Here is a 21,636-nt window from a genome sequence, read left to right as displayed (position 1 = left end):
ATAGTTTTACATAGTTCTGCAAGAGCACTTTTTAGAATGGCAGTAACTTTAACTCTCAATAGAATATTTGACCTTCAATATTTTCAAATTCTCACCAACATATGGCATTTTTCTATTTTTAGCATTCTTAGTTCCAAAATTTACATTGACAAACTTCCTATAGAAGTAGAGTATCAAATATTAATCATTTGGTGATTCTCTGTTTTGAATTACACATTCCTGTCATTGCCCATAGTTTTTATTAGTTTTCCCGTATTTTTCTTGTTGACTTGTAGGAGTTCATTTTGTTTCTGTTGTTATTGTTTATTTAGTTATTTTGGTTTTAGACATGAGGTCACCTTTTTCTAGCCTTTGGTTACAGTGAGTATCCTTTATTGATATGTGTAATAGGATGGAACAGGCTACGCTGCAGTAACAGGTGACCCATGTTTTTTGCAATTCTGGTCGGTCTCCAGAACAATCTCTTCAGAATGGAGACTTAAGGATCTAAAAGTCTTCCATCTGTGGCTCTACCATCTAAATATGGCTTTTACTGTTTCAGAGGAAGGGAAAATAAAGAGCATGGTTTGACCTTACAATCTTACCTAAGTATCTTTGATGAGAAGTAACTCTATCATTTTTGCTTGTACTCCACTGGCCAGAATGACATAGTTTCCCAATCTAGCTACATGAGAGGCCAAAACACTTTTTTTATAGTTATGTAGGATAGCAATCCTTATCTCTGTCAAAAAAATCTTAAATTTGACATAACTTAATCCACCACATTTTCACCTCATGGTTTTTGTTTCCGAAATTTTGATGATTTCTCTACCATGAAGGTATTTTCCTATGTTTTCTTTCATTAAGGCATTCTCTCATATTGTTTTCTCTTACCTTTATAGTTAGGTCTGAAATCTACTAGAAGATTCATGTTTGTTAGAGTGTAATGTAAGTGTCTTCTTACATTTATTATCCAGATTTTCCAACACTATTGTATGTACAAGTTCTTCTTTCCTCATTGCTCTGTACTACCTGATTTGCCATGTATCAAGTTGCTGTATCAAAGGCTTAATTTTAAGGTCTTTTTTCTATATTTTATTAAACCACTTTTAATTTCAGTGTTAATACTGTAATGTCCAAACAGCTTAAATTCCTTGACTTAAAAATACTCATTATTTTGTTAATTAATTTATTAAACAAATATTCAGTGAAACTTTGCATATTCCAAGAATTGCATAGGCATAAGGAATAAATAGTTGAACTAGGTATGACTCTTCTTAAAAAATTCATAGTTCAATAAAAGGGCAGACATATCAAGAAAACACAAGTTCATATAAATTTTCTAAGAGCACAGATTACATGTGATGATAGCACTGAGGACTGAGTGAGAACTGTATAAAGGAGTGACCAGGAAGAATACATCAGAAAGAAATCATAGCCTTAAATATATATATGAGAAAAAATGGCAGGAAGAAAATTAATGAGCCACAAATCTATATCCAGAAATTTTAAAATAAAAATGAATTAAATAAGAAGTATAAAGATAATAAAATAAGTACAAAAATGAACATTGCAGAAAACAAAGACATACTAGAAAGAATTTTAAAAAGCAAATGTTTATATTTGGAAAAGATCTTTAAAGTAGGCAAACAGTGATCAACAAAAAAGAGAGAAGTCAAAAGTAAATATTAGAAATGGAAACTGGGATTCTTTTTATGTATAAATGATACTGAAATATCAAAGACAATAATGCATTAAAACATTTGCAGTAGATTTTAAAAATTAATAGAACTGTTAAACTCCTATTAAAATGTATCTTAACCAAACAGGTTAAAAAAGAAATCGAGAAATTGTTTAAACATTCTATGACCATGAACGTAGTTGTGTAGGTAAAAATCTCCCCACAAAGAAAGTGACAGGTCCAGCTGGTTTTATAAATGAATTCTACTAATGTTTTAAAGGAAAACTTATTCCAATCTTCTACAAACCCCTTTTCAGAGAATACAAAAATGGTGACCATTCCTCAACACATCTGTGAGAGCAGCAGAATTTTACCAAAGCCAATATCAAAGTCAACAGAGGAAAGAAAATAAAACAAACAAACAAGAGTCAAACCAGAATTATTAAGGTTACCAAAAGAAAGAAAAAAGACATAATGTCCAACTTGGATATATCTCAGAAGGTTAATAGTAGAGAAAAAGTAAGTGTACTACATCACAGGAACATATTAAAAGGGGAAAAACATGCACTCTTCTTTGTAGATCCAGAATTTTTTATATAAAATGCAACAACCATTTATAATTCTTAGCAAGTTAGAAAAGGAGGGAGATATTCTTATCTTAATAAAGAGTGTCTATTAAATTCCTGTAAAACATAATTTTTGGCAAACAGTTTTATATGCATTCCCTTAATATTAGGAAATAACACAAAGTTCTCATTATCGTCACTTCTATTGTACATTGAAATGAAACCCCAAGTCACTATGTAACACCAAATAATAATAAATAGTAAAATTAAAATTGAAATATTAACTTGTAAAGAAGAAAAATGTAATTATTTACAGATTGTACATAGAAAACCTGAAGAATCTTCTAATTAATAGAATCAATATAAATATATAGCAATATAGCTAGACATCAAATTAATGTACAAAAATCAGTCTTATAGCTCTGCATCAGCTACATTTACAAAGTGTAGTGGGAAATATATTTTGTGTCACTTAACAGTGTGTAGAGTTTAATTTGTTATGAAAACATATCAAACAAATATATATAGTCGGAAGGAGGTAAGCTGACTTTTTGCACTTACGTGCAGGCTCAAAATTCTCATTATAGGAACATTTAGAAATCGACTTATTTATACAAAAGGCTATTATGGCTGGTCTGAGGCAGGGGGATTGCTTGAGCCCAGAAGTTGGGGGCTACAGTGAGTTCAGCCTAGGTGACAGAGAGAGACTCTGTTTCTATATATATATATATATATATATATATATATATTTTTTTTTTTTTTTTTTTTTTTTTTTAAAAAGCTCTTAAGCCTCCAAAGTTCTGCTTTATATATCATATGGAGAATTTTGCTGGAAATAAAATGTGAATCAACTCACATAGGTCAAAATAAAAATCAATAAAAAAACAAAGCATCAGTAGAATGCCTATGTTTGTGCAATACTATTTGTATTAGTTTCCAAAGTAAACTAATTAGGGTAGGTGAATAGGGAGAGTGATTTTCTTAATCAACAGAAGCAAAGTTCCATTGACAAGAGTCCTTGGGTGGATGGTCATAACCTAGCTGTCATGGCAGTATTGACACTCAGTCAGAGGCCTCTGGCTTGATCAGTGATACCCTCTGCTGCTGTTCTCCATGTGTGATTTGGAACAAAATCAACTCAGGATATTACACTTTTGACAACATAGATGAAGAACAGTCAGGAGACGATCAGTTGCTCATTTGGGTTGAGAGAGATGAGGAATCCACATTAAACTGACTGGTTACTCCATGATTCCTTATTATTTGACCTATTTGTATTTAATGGTTATCCAACACATACTGCCTTTTTAAAAATATGTGTTCACTGGAATTTTGGGATGTTACTTATTTCCTCTCATACACTGTCTTTATGAAGGACTTTTTACTTTAATGTTATTTACCCAGGACAAGACCAGACTTTAGGCATATTTACCTGTCAAATAACATTCTGTTATTATTATAATATGGTTATTATTTGATTTAAATTTTCCATTGCAAATTCCTATTTCAATAATAATGTAACTGATATTGATGGTGGACAGCAATGCAGGGCATATTTGTTATAAATAGTAAGGAGTATTTGGAGGATGAGAGCTTCCTAGAATCCTTTTTATAGCTGGTTACGGACAGAAGTACCACGTGTCCATTAGGCCTTCTCCTAGGTTGAATAAATATCTATAGTTGCATCCATTTTATTTTGTCTATTTTTTTAAAGAATTATCCTCAGGGAATGGCGGTGCTATAGAACTAAGAATTCCTTATGAGAAACACTAACTTAAAAAGTGAACATACTACATTGGCATTAATATTGAACTAGGAACTAGGTCTACAATTTTTAAAAAGTAAAGTGTTATATTTTTTAAAATGTAGAGGCAAGGTGTGGTGGCTCACGCCTGTAATCCCAGCACTTTGGGAGGCTGAGATGGGTGGATCACCTGAGGTCAGGAGTTTGAGACCAGCCTGACCAACATGGTGAAACCCTGTCTCTACTAAAAATACAAAAAGTAGCCGAGCATGGTGGCACATGCCTGTAATCCCAGCTACTCGGGAAGCTGGGGCAGGAGAATTGCTTGAGCCTGGGAGGCGGAGGTTGCAGTGAGCCAAGACCGTGCCATTGCACTCCAGCCTGGGCAACAAGGGCGAAACTGTCTCAAAAAATAAATAAATAAATAAATAAAGTAGCTAATGAGACAAGTCTATTTCCTGGAAGTTCATATAGATATACAGGTATGTAAAGATCAACACCCATTATTTATAGAGTGGTCTTTGTGGTAGGCAGAGTTTTAAAATGATCTCTGTTTTCAGCTGCTATAACAAATGACCATAAAGCAGATGACCTAAACAACAGATTTTTTTTTTTTTTTCTCGTTCTGGAGGCTGGGAAGTCTGAAATCAAGTTGCCAGCATGGTCAGATTCTGGTGAGGGCTGTCTTCCTAGCTTGTAGATTTTTGTCTTCTTGCTGTATCCTCTGGTGGTGAAGGGTAAAGAGAGAGGAAACTCTTTTTTTGTCTCTTCTTATAAGAGCACAAATCCCATCATGAGGGCTCCACCTTCATGACATAATTACTTCCCAAAGGGTCCACCTCCTAATACCATCCCACTGGGGGTTAGGGTTTCAACATATGAATTTTGGGGGCTACATACATACACTCCACAACAATGTCCAAGATCACCAGCCCCTGGGGATATACACACTCTATGTAACCCTGAGGACTGTGAATATAATGGATTTTACTCCATGATTGGTTTATCTTATAAGGCACAGTTGATGATCGTCCTTCTTAAAGGACTTGAACTAATCAGGTGAGCTTTAGAAAAGAACTGGGCTCTTCCTGAAGTCAGATATATTTGAATCCTGAGAGCAATTCGATGTGAGAGATACTCTCCATTGCTAGCATCAAAGATGAAAGAAGCCTCGTGGCAAGGACTTGATAGTAGCCACTTAGAACTGAGATTAACTCTGACCAACAACTAGCAAAGAAACATGGACCTCACTGTCTTTCTAATAAACATTGATAACATTGATTGCTCCCTTTTACTCTCTCCTACATAGAATAACAATACCTAGAATGTTCTCTTTAATTATTAAAGCCAATATTCTTAATGTTGTTCATATATAAGTTCTACCTGACCATGTTTACTTGCTGTATACATCCCTGCATTTTTGCCCATTGGACTCTATCTCATTAACTCTTTATATATGTGTTTTCACTACCTGATTGTGCATTTTTTGTAATATAAGGAATTTCTATAAGCTCCTGTGCCTAAAACTGTGCTTTACATTTTATATATGTCTAATATTGAACTACAAATATAAAAATTCCACCTTAATATTCTTTGCATCTAACACTATTTTTGTATATAAAACGTATTTAATGGTGACTGTGGATAAATTGTTCAGCCTTTTTTTAAATTTTTTTTGTGTGTGTTGTTTTTTGAGACAGGAAAGATCTTACAGAATGAGACCAGGTTAGAGTAAAGCGGCATGATCACGGCTCACTGAAGCTTTGACCACTCTGGCTCAAGCAATCCTCCTGCCTCAGCCTCTTGAGTAGCTGGGATTAGAGTCATGTGCCACCATGCCTGGCCAATTTTTTAAATTTTTTGTAGAGATGGGGGTCCCACTATGTTGGTCAAGTTGGTCTCAAACTGCTGAGCTCAAGTGATTCCCCTGCCTCAGCCTCCCAAACTGTTGGGATTACAGGCATGAGCCACTGCACCTGGACTCATTTAGCCTTTCAATGCCCCAGTTTTCTGAAAGGAAACTGTTCTCATAATTTGGTTGGGAAAATTAAATAGAGCATTCATAAATTGTCTAGTATATAATACATTTTAATTAAATGTTAGCTACTGTCAGTATATCTATTGTTATCACTGCTTCTATTGGTAGATTTTTACCAAAAGCCCTACCTTTAGAGTTTTTACCTTCTATTTTTCATATGAATAATTAATCAATGGTCTTCTGGTTTTGCTTGAGTTAAAATGTTTAAAAAAAAACTTGATAAATTCTCAAATAAACAAAAATTGAGCACCAAGAATTAAGGCAGAAATTCCAAAAGGAATTCGTGACAAATGAAACAGCAAAGCAGCAGGTGAAACAAAACCTAACAAATCATGCAGAGTGCAGCAAACTGCACCTAACACTTGGTGGCCTTTAAGAAATGGTCACTACGAATCTCCAAACCCTTTTTCTACTTCCCCAAGGAAAGTGAAAAATGCTTCTTTACCCGATTTAAAAGAGAAGTAAGCATCTATGCAGCTATGATAAATACTAGGTAAATAAGTGACGGAAAACTCTGGTAGACTAAAATCCCTTCCACTCTGTTTTATATTTAATCCTCATTATAAGAAAGAATGATATGATAGATTATATTTTCCCCACTGGGAGATTTTATTGGTAATCTTTTTCTTAAAATTACTATTGTGACATTAATCTTAACATAAGTATTTTAAAATGTGTGAAGCCCCAAATTTAATGCCATACACACTGGGTTGTAAAAAAGCGTATGAGCTTCAAAATCATATTGAAAACTATAGTGACTGAATAATCCTCATTTTAAGCTAGGGTACTTATTGCTCTTTGCCTACTGAACCTATGATTCTTTTTAAGTTTCCTACTGCTAAGTAATATAAATTAGAAACACAGAACAATTTTCCTGGATTAAAGATGAAAGCACATAAAAAACAAACATATAATTTAAGACCTGTTTGAAAATGTTATGCTTGTCTATTAGAATGCCACTTTTCAGTTTCTGATGACCTTTCAATCTGCATATAAAGCAATCTTTTAAAAATAGTTGTAATATATTTGAGCTAGAAACTTTTCACTGCCATTTACTCATTTTTAGGAGTATAAGACAATATTTATATTATCCTATGACAAATATATTTTTTATTTGAGGGAAGCCTAGATTTTTCAAGTTAATAACATGATTTGCTTTATTTTTTTAAGTTATGTGAACTGAAATATATCAGATCTAGTCAATGAAGAGAATACTCAGAGTGAAGCGTAACCCATAAGGCGAGAAACCTAAAAAGATTATAAGCATCAAGAACAAAAGAAACAGTGGCAGTTTTATTTCCTTTTAACTAGTGTGTTACACCACATCTAAAACAAACAAAAAATTAACCTATTTTCCTCCCTGATGTCATTGATTTGTCTTAACAAAGCAGTCATTACTGCATTATAGTGCTGACCTGTACCTGTTCTACTAATTTTTACAACATATAATTACCACAAAACACATATGGAGAAAGCATGTTGACCTCATAGGTTTCCCTAACTTGCTTATTTGATTGACTGTTTTGAATGGTAACTATTCAATCTTGTCCAAAGGCGAAATTAGGACTCACACTGGGAGTTTAAAAAAAAAAAAAAAAAAAAAAAAAGAGAGAGAGAGAAATAGAGTCATTAGAAAGAATTTGGAATACTGACATGCCTAACAAAGGTATCGGTACCTTTTGTTACTAGACCAGTGAATTTTCTTGCTCATTCCAAGTGAATAAGGATGCTGTTATTCTTAATTCTTTTGGTGATTCTCTCTAAACTGAGAATTGAATTAAAAAAAAAATAAGACCAGGGAAGAATGAGGAAGTTTTTTTCATGTTATTGTTTGTGTTTCAAGTAGTTCAAGTAGACTTGCATCTCCAGGAGTGACTTTCTGGCAGTTTCACAGGAGCTAAATTTATTCATGAAAAACAACAGGCGACCACTAAGGGCAATATACAACTATCTGGTAAAAGATAAATATAAATACTTCCAATGATATAAACTTTAAAAGTGGTTCTAAGTCTAGTTCAAAAGACTTTCATAAATTTCACTTAACTCAGTGCAAGTTATTTTTCCAAATGGTTCACACATCTGTAGTTCCCATTTGAATGTCTTTTTATTCCTTGTTGGATGCATTTTGGTTTTGCTGCCAAGGAAAACAGAAACCCTCTTTCAGCTCTATCCATTTGAAAGAGGAGTGACATCTAATGACCAGTTAAGTTGAGGGTATTTATTCCGTAGGAGTCATAGTTACAGCTCTTCCCTAGAGAAAGCTATATTTGAAAGTGATATTAATTTTTTGTGTACTATAAAGTGAATTTTTGAAAAACACATCTTGAAAAATCAGCAGGGACGCTGAATTTCATTTCAGGGTAATATTTGAGCCTTTGGACCAAATATAGCAAGTCTATTTGAATATGCAACAAAATGTGATAATTCTCTCCTCAGTACAATACAACTGCTCATTTCACCCCTCCTGTGAATAGTGATATAGGGAAGGACTATGAGAGTTAACGCTGAGTTTTCTTCTTGGCATTGCTGGAAACATATTAGTTTTCAATGGAGTGAGAGATGATCGGTAAATGAAACACATTAGCATTTTCAGTGCAGATGAAAAGTCTCCAAATAGAAAGAAAAGACTCAAGGAAATTTCTTCGAACAGTTTCTATTATTTTTCCCTTTTAAGTGATGAGGTTAAAAAGAAATTAGGAAATAGAATCAAAATGTGCTATCACTTGGGGAATTTGAGCCATGATTTCCTACCTTACAAAATGAACCTATGAGTGTTAGATATTACAAGTTCTTCTGTTTTAGTGTTATTTTATCCCATATATGCAATGCTGGTCATCTACAATTTCACTTTCCTCTACCTCCCTAACTAAAATTTTTATCTATTTTGTGCTCTGAGTCTAGTACTTACCTTGGTGCCAGTCACTTGAAAGGCACTCAGTGAGAATTTGTTATATAGTGTTATTCCTATAGTTAATACAAAGGCAATATATATACTCTACAGAATATAATTTTGGAAAGAAATGCAATACAATGTGGTATAATCTTACAACTATATACAAATGTCTTAGGGGAACTATTTAATTTCCATTTCCATTACTCTGAAATTTAATTTGTAAAAAATATCATTTTTATGAAAACTGTATTAACTATTATTGTATTTCAAGAAAATATTGAGGAAAATGTGATACTTACTGTGCAATTTTTGGTAAGGTAAAATTATCTTGATGTTTTTCTAGAATTTTGAAAAAAGGCAATGAGGATTGGCAGTTAATTCATTTACTTTCATCATGCAGTTGGATGAAATTAGTAACGTCTTTCAATGCAGAAAGTTCTTCAATTTTAGTCACTATATGCATGCCAATGTCATCAAGGTATAATTCCTAAGCTGTAAAATTTCAAAGGCTTCTGAAATTCATGAAATGTTGGAAATATTTTCTTGCCAAACAAAATTTTAGCTAGAACAAAAATCTACTAATTTCTACTCTGTACATAAAGGTAGAATTTGAGATGCTTAATATTGCATTTGGTAAAAACATTCATTCCAGTATGCCATAGTGACTCATTCGTTTTTCTATATGCATTTATACAAAGACTTTACTTATTACTGAAAGAGACTTCATGATTATGAGGGCCTTGAATTACCATTTTTACCTTAGATGTACAGTTACAGAAAGAAAACAGAACTTGATGTCCTCTCTTTACACAGAAATTCACTGATTTCCCCAAGGATAATTCTTTTAAGTATTTTCAGTGAACAATGAAAATCCCCTACTTTCCCATAACCTTATCTTGTTTCTTGTTGTTTTTATTAAGAAAAAAAAAGTAGTAATAGGGAAGTCGTCACTCATTATTTGATTTACTCATCATTTTCAGCTGAAAAAGTGAGATATAGCTACAAACAAATGTCTATACTCACCATAGAGACAAATGAAATCTGTTATTTCTTTTGTCCATGATGCAATCTGAAAGAATGAAGATGAGACATATTAGAATTTTCGGTGTTGAAGACAATATCTCTTCATGAAAATGGTGAGAATTACAAAGTCTGGTTAATTTTCCTGCAGGGAGAACACTGACAAATACCTTAAAGTTCGTTAAGGGTTATTGGTCAGGAAAATTTTAAATTGTTTTCTTGCTGGCATCAATGATACACAATTTGCCAAAGGTAACTGCATTGATTTGACGGCAAAGTTAATAAATTCTTCTCCCTTCAACCTAATCTTGGAATATCCTAATATTCCAAGATTGGAATAGACAAAGTAAACTATGAAATCTCGAATTTGTTTTGCATTTATTACAAACAAAATCAGAATTTAATATTGATAGAAATTTAGAGATGATTTGCTGATTGACACATACAACATAATTCCTCAAAGTTATTTTCTTATTCATGCCAAATAGTACATCTTTCCATTGTAATTGATTTTAAAATATTTTACTTACTTTTTTATTTGCTCAGAAATTTCCTGGCTAGTTTTTGTGTTCTGGTCTTCATTATAATATCATACTCTTGAGAAGAAACTGTTGAAAACTCTGTCTAAAGTAGACTCACTTTTTCTCTCTTGTTGTCATCTATTAGTTCGAATATTCTATTTTATTTCAGAAATTCAGGGTCTAAATTTAAAATCTAATAGCAATAACTTAACTCTATTCTGAAAAAAAATTTATAATTTCCTTATTACCTGACAAATTCAGGGTGAAATGATACATTGAAGTGCCACTGAACACAGGACCAGCTGGTGTTTTCATACTCACTTTGTTGCTCACATGTTGAAAATATGTTTTAACATTTGTACATATGATAGCTTTTATTTCTTTTCAGAATTTTGGAAGCTAATAGTCTAACGTCTTGACAACAAAAAAGAAACTTTTATGTAAATACATGTCAGGTCTTGGCAACTTAGCAACTCAATAAGAACGACTGTAAATCTTTACTTACACCTTTTATAGAAACAATTTGCCTCAGCTAAGTTATGGAAGTTTTATGGTGCTCTCAAAGATATTTGTTTGTTAGTTCAAGTTGTTTACTGAAAGAGAATTGTACTGAAAGAGAAATAAATCTACTCTGTGCCATTGTGATTATTTGTAACAGCTTGCCGTTTTAGCATGGTTGACTTTGGGGTTGGCAAATACTGTTGAAATGAGTACATTTTGTTAAAATCCAAATGCCCTTGCTTCTGAGAATAAATCAAGAAAATGTCATTTTTCTTCCCCAAAGTACAACATCCTAGGTGCATTGTTCAGAGCAATCAATATCATTTAACAAAAATTAAGAGCAATGAAACATAAACCAACTTCATTCAAGATTAGAGTAGGTTAAGTATTTTGGGTGACTCTTAAATGAGTCTACATCTAAGTTTGGGAAACCTTTGATTTTGGGGTTTTTTTTTTTCTTTTTTTTTTGTAATTACGTGTTCTCTGACAGACACCTAGGATCTTTCCCCAGTGCAACCCAAATTTCAGTTGTATTCAAACGATGTAAGCTTTGATGTACTATTTATAACTATTTGATGGGCAAGACATGTAATTAATTACTGTTCTACTTTGACTGCCTGCAATGTTTTTGATATCAAGTTTTTAGTAGTTCATTCTTTTATGAATCTTGATGTGTTGACTGCTGTGCCGGATGTAACCAGAGCAGAAATTTAGTAAAGTTCAATACAGATCAGGACATTTTAAAACCAGCTTGCATAGTAAGCTAAAGAAGTGTAAGTTCCCTTTGTTTGCAATTTAAGCTGCATGCTTTGAAGTGGAATCTTATCAAGGAAAGCCCCTGGGGCCTCCTGAACAGAAGAGATCAATTGTAAACTGGTAGATTATTTAAAGGTCATTTTGTCAGAAGGATTTTTGAAGTGGATTCAACCCTACATTTCTCCCCCTCTCTCTTTGAGGTGATACAGACATTTTCTTATGATTTTTGTTTTTTTATTATTATTTTCTGGAAGAACTTGTTCCTTTATTCATCTTGAGCACTTAATTAGAATTCCAAACTGTTAACTAATCAAAATGAAGAGACTTGCTTTCACAATAAATACAGTACGTGGCTGATTTTAAAAAAGAAAAATGAAAAAAAAAACCAACAACACTCGTTTCTAAAAAGGGATTTCTTGCCAGGAAATGATAGTTTAGAAATTATAGTTTTGAGGTGTGGGTAGTATAATTGTCATTATCTTTAGACCAATCTAAACAAAGACATTTCCTACAATACCATGGCTCTGCAAAGGAACATGAATTAGATGTGGTGGAAAGAAGATAAAGTAGCATAGTAATTAGGCCTTAATTTTTTAGAAATTGTACAATTACATGTTTTGAGTATGTAAAACAATAACTTTGTGTCACAGTCATATGTCTCTGTCATTTTACCGAAGTTAACTGTTCAGTAAAACAGTTACATATATTATCTCGTCATATATATTTTTTAACTTATACCACCACTTTTATCCTATCAGAATAAAATAAAAGAAGAAAATAAAAATAAACTGTCATTCATGGACATTTGCAATGACAGATTTAACTAGTATGAAAGGTAAATTAAGTAAAATTAGTGCAATTATTAAATACGAGTATTTTCTGTTCTTGAGCTTTTATTATAGTTGATTGAATTCTAGCACTCTTACTACTTTGACATTTCTCTGCTGTCATGCAGAATAACTGTCCTAGATATGTATTCTTATTTACTAGGTATACACCATTAAACCCTGCATGGATATACGCACTTTAAATTGCCAAAAAATTAAAATAAAACATTTAAATGCACTGATATAGATTAACGTGTTTACTGACTTTACTTGCAATTGAAGACTTTCACAATTTCAAAGGAAAGGATAAATAGACTACATGACTTTGTGAATATTAGAAATACTGGAAGCCATTTTCCAACATTAAGAAATATGGGAACCTTTTAAACATTTCCAAAATATCACAAAATAATCAAGGGAACATTCCACAGTCATATTTATCATAAAAAATGTTCTTTGTTTATGAGATATTTTTAAATATTTTGGCAGCTAAATCCAAGTAAAAACATAACTATTCATAATATGATTCTTCCAGTTATATTATTTGATTCCCAGATGAGTTGTTTTTTTTCCAAAGTAAAATTCCATGATACTATTGTCCCCTGAGATACTGTCCCTTACCTAATCACCCAGACTCCTGTCCAAACAAAAAAATGAGTTCTTGATCATATTCTTTTAGGAAATAGTGCATGCTCTATCAACCTCCTGGGGGCTTGCAAAGCATCTAAAGGCTATAAAAAGTCTTTCAGTGAAGAAGCATCATTCATTTTGTATAGCTTAATGTTTTCTAAACTTAACCATAGAAATGAAAGAAAAAAAAACAGGAAACAAGTCTTTATTGACATTTCAGAGAACTATTTTTCTCAGGAAACAAATCTGGAAAATGCCATACAATATCAATGAAAGTCATGGGGGTTGGTTGCCAACTATAAAAGAGAGGAATAGCGAAGGTGGTTTATAGTTGGATTTTCCTTCAAAATTATCTCCAATTGGCCATGAAAGACAAAGGAGTGATAAAGACACTCTATTGTTATCGCAGAGCCCTGCCCCAGTTAATTGGTTTAAATTTTTTCAGATTATACTTTGAAATCAATAAAAATTTTAAATGTGGATAAAATGGGGTTAAAAACCTATGATGTGGCTTTTTAAATAACCACATTATTCCATAGCTACAAAGAGGAACTAAGACTATTCTTTGTGTTTCCATTCTCTTCTTCCTGTCTGCGACACAGGTAAATAAGGGCATACCATTTTTTACTGCTTTGGGATGGAAAATGTTATAGTAAAAGAAAAATAAGACTAAAGTCAAATACTACGGCCTACGATTCTTATAACAGCTATACTGAGAAACTCACAAATCAAATCCACAACAATTAAAAATGGGAAATTAATCATTCAATTAGGCAAGTTTTGTAGAATTGCTCTTATTTTTTATTTGTTTTACTAAATAGCATTATTGGGTTTTGTTGTTGTTTTAAGAATGTATGCCCCCCACCCCCTGCCACCCTCCCCCCTGCCCTCCCCCCCACCTTCCCCCTGCCACCACCCTCCAGGGATTTACTCCCCACTCCTGCTTTAGGCTGTTTATGCTCACCAGGTGTCATCCCAGCAGCCCAGGGGATGTCAGTGGAAATACAATATTGTATACTTACAACTCATAAGACTGACGATGTGGGCAATTCTTTGTTAGCTGATAAAACCTCCTCTCACCTTACCAAAACTGTACATATTTTGCTGATATTCTTTAAAGTTGAAGTATCATACCACAATTCATTTTCATGTAGAGTGAAAAGGAAATTCATAAAAGTTAACTCATGCTGTCATCTTTCCTGAAGCCCCACAAATCACTGCTGAACTCTAGGCACAAAGGATCATGCCAACTTTCACTGTGTCATTATTAGCTACTGTAAATTCTATTTATAAGGACTTAGTTCAACTTAATTTATTGACTGCTGTGTGCCAAAAGAGCCATTGAAAAGGCTTGAAACTTTTTCTGTTTATAAGGATGTGCTCTTAGACCGGTGCGGTGGCTCACGCCTCTAATCCCAGCACAAGGTCAGGAGATCGAGACCATCCTGGCCAACATGGTGAAACCCCGTCTCTACTAAAAATGCAAAAATTAGCTGGGCGTGGTGGCATGTGCCTGTAGTCCCAGCTACTTGGGAGGCTGAGGCAGGAGAGTCGCTTGAACCGGGGAGGCAGAGGTTACAGTGAGCTGAGATCGCACCACTGCACTCCAGCCTGGTGACAGAACGGGACTCCATCTCAAAATAAATAAATAAATAAATAAATAAATAAATAAATAAATAATAAAGATGTGCTCTCATCAGTATATAATGGGAGTTTAACTGCAGACATGGCTACATCATTGTCAGGGTACCACTGTATAGAAAGGTTGGTGTGGAGGCACTCAATATAAAAGCCTGCTTTTGCCAGTTTCACTAGTATGTTATGAGCTACACATAAGATTATTGCTGGTGTCATTATTAATAATTGATGTGCAGGACACAGGTGAGGTTAATATTAATTCATTATAACTTTATAAACAGTATCACTGTACTGATTTTCATGTATAATGAAAGAAAACTTTCTGTTGCAAGAGTATTAGCTAATGATATCCACTTCAAGCTCATTCAAGAACATGTTCAATCATATGATGAACTCATTGCTAGCCTCTCTTAATAATCTCTCTTAAAATGTCCTACAGATAGAAAAAAAGGAGAAAATATACCAAAATGTCTACCATTATTATGTCTCTGAGACAGATAAGAGATTCCTACAACCTATATATACTGCATTTCTAATTACAAGAGATCAATAAATTTTATTTTAAAAATGTTTTCTTTTTTATTTTTAAGATAGTTTAGAGATAGTTTTAAAATCAATGTTTCTGCTGTTTCTAATCTTGATTTTACTGAGTATATGTATGTACGTGCCTGTGTATGCGTGTACGTGTGTGTGTGTGTGTGTGTTGAGAGGGATTTAGGGAACAGTTGAATAATTTAGGAAAAAAAGAGATAGAGAACCCCAAAAAATATATATCACCATAATTACAAATTTAGTTTGCTTCATTTTTGTATTCTGTAATATTTGGGAAACATCTATGGCTTCCTTTCTTTACTCAGTTATAATTTATTCAAGAATATTGAATGTCAGCTGTGTTCCTGGGCCTGTTATAGCCACTATAAATACAAAGATTAATATGAGTCTTTGTAGTGGGGAAAGAAAGCATATAAACAAGCATAATATAATGTGATAAATCCAGTGAGAGAGATATACACAAAGTTGTAGTTGTATCAATAATATATAAGTTTGAAAATTTAGTATACAGGAAATGAGGGAAAACAATACTAATTGTTCCACAGTATTTGGGACATGAAAATGTTTAATAATTAGAAGCGATGTTTCATTATTTATACTCCAGTCTAATCTCAGAAAACTGCTTTGTAAATGTAACTAAAATACAATTTGGCATAAAATTATTTAGCTAAGCTAGTAAATTATTAACTTGCGTGTCCTTATATAGTTACATAAGGCTATCCAATCTTTTGTTACTCTGTGCTCAAGAACTATACTTTACAATATTGACTTGGTTTTTAATATTGATACTAATTATGGTAAGTATGGTTTCTGGACCACAGTAAACCTTATGGTAAGTAAGGCTTACTGTGAGTCTACTAACTAGAAGAGTACTTCACAGTTAACTGACTGCCATTGTAATCCACAGTTTGTTTTCTCTGAGTTTGATTACAGTATAGGATTCCATCAGATATTGCTCAAAAGAGAAGGAATTATTCACTAGCTATCTGGACTAGAGTTAAGAAATTAATTCTTGCTGATTTGACATGTATGTCTTTATTACATATATTTTGTATCATCCAGTATAGTGTCTTACACATAGTAGGGACATAATATTTATTAAGTAAAGGTTCATTTAAGATTATTATTTGTGGCCAGGCACGGTGGCTCACGCCTGTAATCCCAGCACTTTGGGAGGCTGATGCGGGCGGATCACGAGGTCAGGAGATTGAGACCATCCTGGCTAACACGGTGAAACCCCGTCTCTACTACAAATACAAAAAATTAGCTGGGCGTGGTGGTGGGCGCCTGTAGTCCCAGCTACGCAGGAGGCTGAGGCAGGAGAATGGCGTGAACCTGGGAGGCAGAGCTTGCAGTGAGCTGAGACTGCACCACTGCACTCCAGCCTGGGCAACAGAGTGAGACTCCGTTTCAAAAAAAAAAATTATTTTTTGTATGATCTATTTTATTTCAATCTCTCATTAACACTATCAAAGATTAAAATATTCATGACTAGTCTTAGAATTGAAACTAGATGATACCTGATGTATAAGTGATAGGTAAGTTTTCTAACATGAAATATCAAATTATCATACACGGAACTAGAGGTTAGAAAACATTAATTTAAGTCCTAAGTCCTAAGTGTTTCTCAGAGTGTGACCATGAATAAGTCATTTTACTTCTCTTAAACTGAGTTTTATCATTTTCAATACTGAATTAATAATTTCTGTTTTACTAAGTTGTAATGAGATTTTTTAAAGATAATGTATGTGAATGCATATTTAAAACTGCAAAGCACTGTATGTTAGTTATGGATGAAAATCATACTATAACATTGTTTGGGATAATAGTCTACTAAGAGCTATATTGTAGATATGGTAATATTATGTAAGTGGTGAGGAAAAGGTGGATGAGGGGAGAAAGAAAGAGAAGATATCAAAGATAATCGATTTTTAAAGGGTACCATGTCTGCATTTGACCAAATTAACTCTCAAAAGAAGATTTCTAAAACTTTCTTCTACCTCTGAGAAATAATATTCCTTATCCTAATATGAAACAAGCAAATTAGTTATGTAATATTTAAACATGAGTTTTAATTAATAAGTTACTAAACCCATTTTGGAAATATCAGGTTGACTTAGAGTAATGTACTGAATGACTTTAGCTAAGCTTAACTTACCATTTTTGGTACTGAGTTCATTCATTAAAAAAAAAAAATCATAGGAGAAACAAGCCAATGTGAGCACAATAGCAGAAACAAAAAGAGTAAAACTAATAAGTAGAGTTATTTACATTGTATAAAATAATCATTTTTAACAGACATAAAATGTGACAGGAAACAATAATAGGAAAGACACATTTTTAAAAGAAAGAAATAGAATTTAATGGTATGAAAAGTGTAATTGTTGAAACTAAAATTTCAATGCATAAGACATGCACTTTCATTTCCATCTATATTGAAGCAACCAGTAATTGATGGAAACACCACAATAAAAGAGATGATGTAATGAGCAAAGATTTAAAATACCTACTGGAAGTATACATAAAACTGTAGAAAAAATTAACAAAATAGTTATTAAAAAGAAAGCTATAAACATAATCTATAGGATTTTTTAGTGAGGAAAAATAAAATATCTGAAATGGAAAATTCACTGGAAGTTCCTTCTGTCCCTCGTGTAAGTGCGTGCACTCTAGGCAGGGCTTGTAGAGATCCTCTGGGGTCCCAGCTCCCCAGGGACAGGACAGGACCTGAGGACCAAGTGTTTGAGTTGAGATTGAGGGCATCCAGCCATGCCTTGGAGCTGTCCCATCGATGACCAGCTGCTGCCTGCAATCTGTGAAAGCCGCCTCACCTTCCCTGTCAGCCAGGATGGCAAGGGATGACGGTGAGGCTTCTGCTGAATTCAGTCACCAGGGCTAGGAACCAACTGCTGAACCTGAATAATGACAAATATAGGGACATGGAGCCTCAGACTAGCTTCTTCAAGAAGCTGCTGGGCCACCAGCAGCCCCACATGGAGATAAAGATCCACTGGGGTTTATTGGCTGAAAATATAATTGAAGCAACCTCTAAAAATGTGGCTTTTCAGGACCTTAGTAATGACAAAGAGAAAGGAAAGACAGAGTTTAATCTTCATGATTGATATCCTTCTGCAAGCGATAGGCCTCCTGTTAGATATGCCTAATGTAATATTTTGAAAGACATAGCCAACCAATACCAGATGATGAAAAGTTCTCAAATACATTTTGTGCCATGCTGGGGTTGTTATGGGGTTACTCATTGAAAAAAAAAAAAAGTATTATCAGAACTTTATGAAAAAGCTCAGAATCTTTCAGCTGTGGAAGTTAGGGAGAAAAGTCAGTTCATTTGCTAAAGCAGCCATTGAGAAGCAGAAATCAACCTTTATTCATTGAAGAACAATAGAGGAATAGAATAATTGCTGCTATACTATGATGGAAAATGTGAAGCCAAATATTGATAATTTCCCATCAAATATTATAATGACTTGGCTTATTGATCATACAAACCTGTGTTTTGATCTCCTCATCAAGGACTGCATTGGCTAAAGCAGGATTTGAATAAAACATCAGTCATTCTATATATGTAAATTTATCTCTTTCGAAGCTTTCTTCTGAGTTGATACCTCTTTAAGATGATGATTCTTCTATTAGTTTTTTAGTCTGGACCACACAGCCCCGGACAATTCCATTTATCATGCTGTTTACTGTATTCCAGGATCAAAGTATGCTGTTGTGAAGTATTTCAATTTTGGAGACATCTACATACAGTACTTGCTGCAGATAAAGTAAAATCTGTCACCTCTAATTTGGAAACATTTGAAGTTATTTCAACATTTTCAGGTGTATTTTTGAAAAATGGTACTTGTACTCATCCTATAATTCCTGATAAAATCTCCCCTCTTTTACCTGCAAATTGTATAACCATGACAAAAGGGAAAGAATTGATTTACACAGTCCCAGTTCATGTTGTGGAAGATAACAGTGTGACTTCTCAAACAACCTGTCAATTGATTGTTTAGTGGATGAAGACAGAATTTTCACGAATGTTTCAGGTTATGAACTTTAAGACCAAACTTGAAGCGGGAACTGTTGTGGTTATAAAGATGCTTTCAGCTGCAGAGAATTTGTTGAAGCAGACTGCAGAGAATTTGTTGAAGCAGAAAAAATCGGTACATAACTATCCCTATGATGGGAGGGCTAAGAAAACAGATTATTTGTGCCAGCCAGTAGTGGCTTATAAACACAATGGATACTAAAACCACAGCCAAAAAATTGTCTAAAAAGGTAAAATTTACTTCTATATCAGCACTGAATGTCAAGGTCAAAATTATGGACAGATAAATATATTGGTGCACAAAAATGCAAGGAGTTTGGAGTGCTTCAATTCTTTTATTTCACTGTAATACAAAAGATGAATCCTTGACCAAGAGCCAAACCATTGAGCATATTGTTAAATTAGTGGAACAAGGCAATGATACCTGGTATATTCTTCCCCAGGAGCAATATCTTCCAAAATAAGTCTTATCTCAGATTAATGGGCCCTGACGCCTTGAAATATGAGATATTTTGGACTGGGTGCAGTGGCTCACACCTGTAATCCCAGCACTTTGGGAGGCTGAGGCGGGCAGATCACTTGAGCCTAGGAGTTTGAGACCAGCCTGGGAAACATGGTGAAATCCCATCTTTACAAGAAATGCAAAAAATCAGTCGGGCATGGTGGCACACACCTGTGGTCCCAGCCACTTGGGAGGCTGAGGTGGGAGGATTGCTTGAGCCCCAGAGGCAGAGGTTGCAGTGAGCCGAGATTGCACCACTGCACTCCAACCTGGGTGACAGAGGCGAGACCCCATCTTAAAAAAACAAACAAATAAACAAAACAGAAAAAAATAATATTTTTGGGCATCTGGTTTGATGGTAGATTTTTATGTCTTCATTTTCTTCTGAATACTGCCCAAACAGTAGATTTGTACTTGGAAGAAAAAGACCTGCTTAAGGGGTGGTTTTAGTCTTCTTTGGCTAGCAAATATAGCAACAAGAAAAACCTCACTTTATAAGACAGAGGTTGTTCATGGACTTACCCTTGGAGCAAAGGGAGAACAGATATTCTAGACACGCAGGAATGTTGCTAAGCCTGATGTCTTCAGCGGAGGACAAGATCAAAGCAAAGAGCATCTCCATAGTGTTGATGTCCTTTGCAGGTAGCTGAGTCCAATGTCTTCACTGAAGTGAAAATTGGTTCAATTATATGCTGCCACAGATGAGATTGGCAAGACCAAATTTAGGAATACACCCTGCTTATTTTTGTTGTTGTTGTTGGGGCAGGGTTCTAATCCAGAAAGAGATTTCCTCCCTGCTAAGGATAGAGGCTAGGTATATCATAGATCAGTATACACTAAACACAACTGTAGGATTTTGCAAATACTGAGTCAGGTAAACAATGTGATCTTAGAAGAGCTGTTAGCTATTACGAACATTTTATAGCACAGAATACTCTAACTTTTATTTCAGTATAATCAAAGATAGATTTCATTGTGAAAATGAACATGATCTCAAATGACTCGTCAGACTTCATTAGCCAAAACTTTGGAGGCAATACTTCATTCTTTTGCTTTTGTTCTTCCTCACATGGCTAAATATGTATTCCAGCACATACTTTACTTTTAAAAACAAAAGAATGGCTAAAGAACCAAAGAAATGCTACAAAGTGAAGAGACATCCAGTACCTCTCTGTTGAATGAATTAATGATGGCTTCCTGGACAACTTTACTCCTCCAAGAACCATAAGAGGTACCTGCGGATGTAACTGAGCTTAAAGGGATATTCTTAATTAATTTAGGAGGTGGTAGTATTTTTGAATAGTGTTAATATAAAGTAATTGTCATTCCAGCTACCAAAGAAAAATGCCCTTCTTGTTATAAATGTACAGCTTAGTCTGCCAAAACGCCTTATCCAGAAGTTGCTGGTCAAAAGTAGTACTTCACTTTGGTGTTAATGCCTCTCTGAGAAAGAATTCCCTTGACAGTACTGACTGGCCTTTTAAATAGATTATTTATAATATTGGAAATGAATCCAAGATTTAGGTGGAAAAGTAAATGCTGGAAGATAAAGGTCAAATCCTATTTACAAAAGAAGTAAGAAAAGCAGAACAAAAGTATTCCCTGACCTGGAAAAACAATATACACCTACATATATACACATGCATTTAGATGTATATACAAAAAAACCTGTAAGCAGTTGTGTAGCATGTGTGCAAGGATGAATAAATAAGTAAATGGAACACAATAGAGATT

The 21,636-nt window shown here is 33.9% G+C and overlaps 1 long non-coding RNA gene and 1 pseudogene across 1 annotated transcript in view, besides 1 other annotated feature; one reads left to right on the top strand and one right to left on the bottom strand.

The window, feature by feature from the left end:
• Window positions 1–10,006, bottom strand: part of LOC105375626 (uncharacterized) — a 58,659-nt gene extending 48,653 nt beyond the window's left edge. The window contains exons 1-2 of the long non-coding RNA XR_928380.2: window positions 9,925–10,006; window positions 9,201–9,240 (exon numbers count right to left, since the gene is read on the bottom strand). This is a non-coding gene — a long non-coding RNA (uncharacterized LOC105375626). The remainder of the gene's footprint in view (window positions 1–9,200; window positions 9,241–9,924) is intronic.
• Window positions 11,368–12,092: an enhancer, noted in NCBI's record as "NANOG hESC enhancer chr8:88619915-88620639 (GRCh37/hg19 assembly coordinates)". NCBI's record gives its function as "activates a minimal SCP1, AML or CMV promoter by ChIP-STARR-seq in primed H9 embryonic stem cells {active_cell/tissue: H9 hESC(primed)}" and the evidence as "EXISTENCE:reporter gene assay evidence [ECO:0000049][PMID:30033119]".
• On the top strand, window positions 18,160–21,298 carry IARS2P1 (IARS2 pseudogene 1; annotated as a pseudogene).

This window comes from Homo sapiens, chromosome 8 (assembly GCF_000001405.40).
Source record: "Homo sapiens chromosome 8, GRCh38.p14 Primary Assembly".
In the NCBI taxonomy this organism is placed as follows: Eukaryota; Metazoa; Chordata; class Mammalia; order Primates; family Hominidae; genus Homo; species Homo sapiens.
This window is presented reverse-complemented; position numbering and strand designations above follow the sequence as displayed.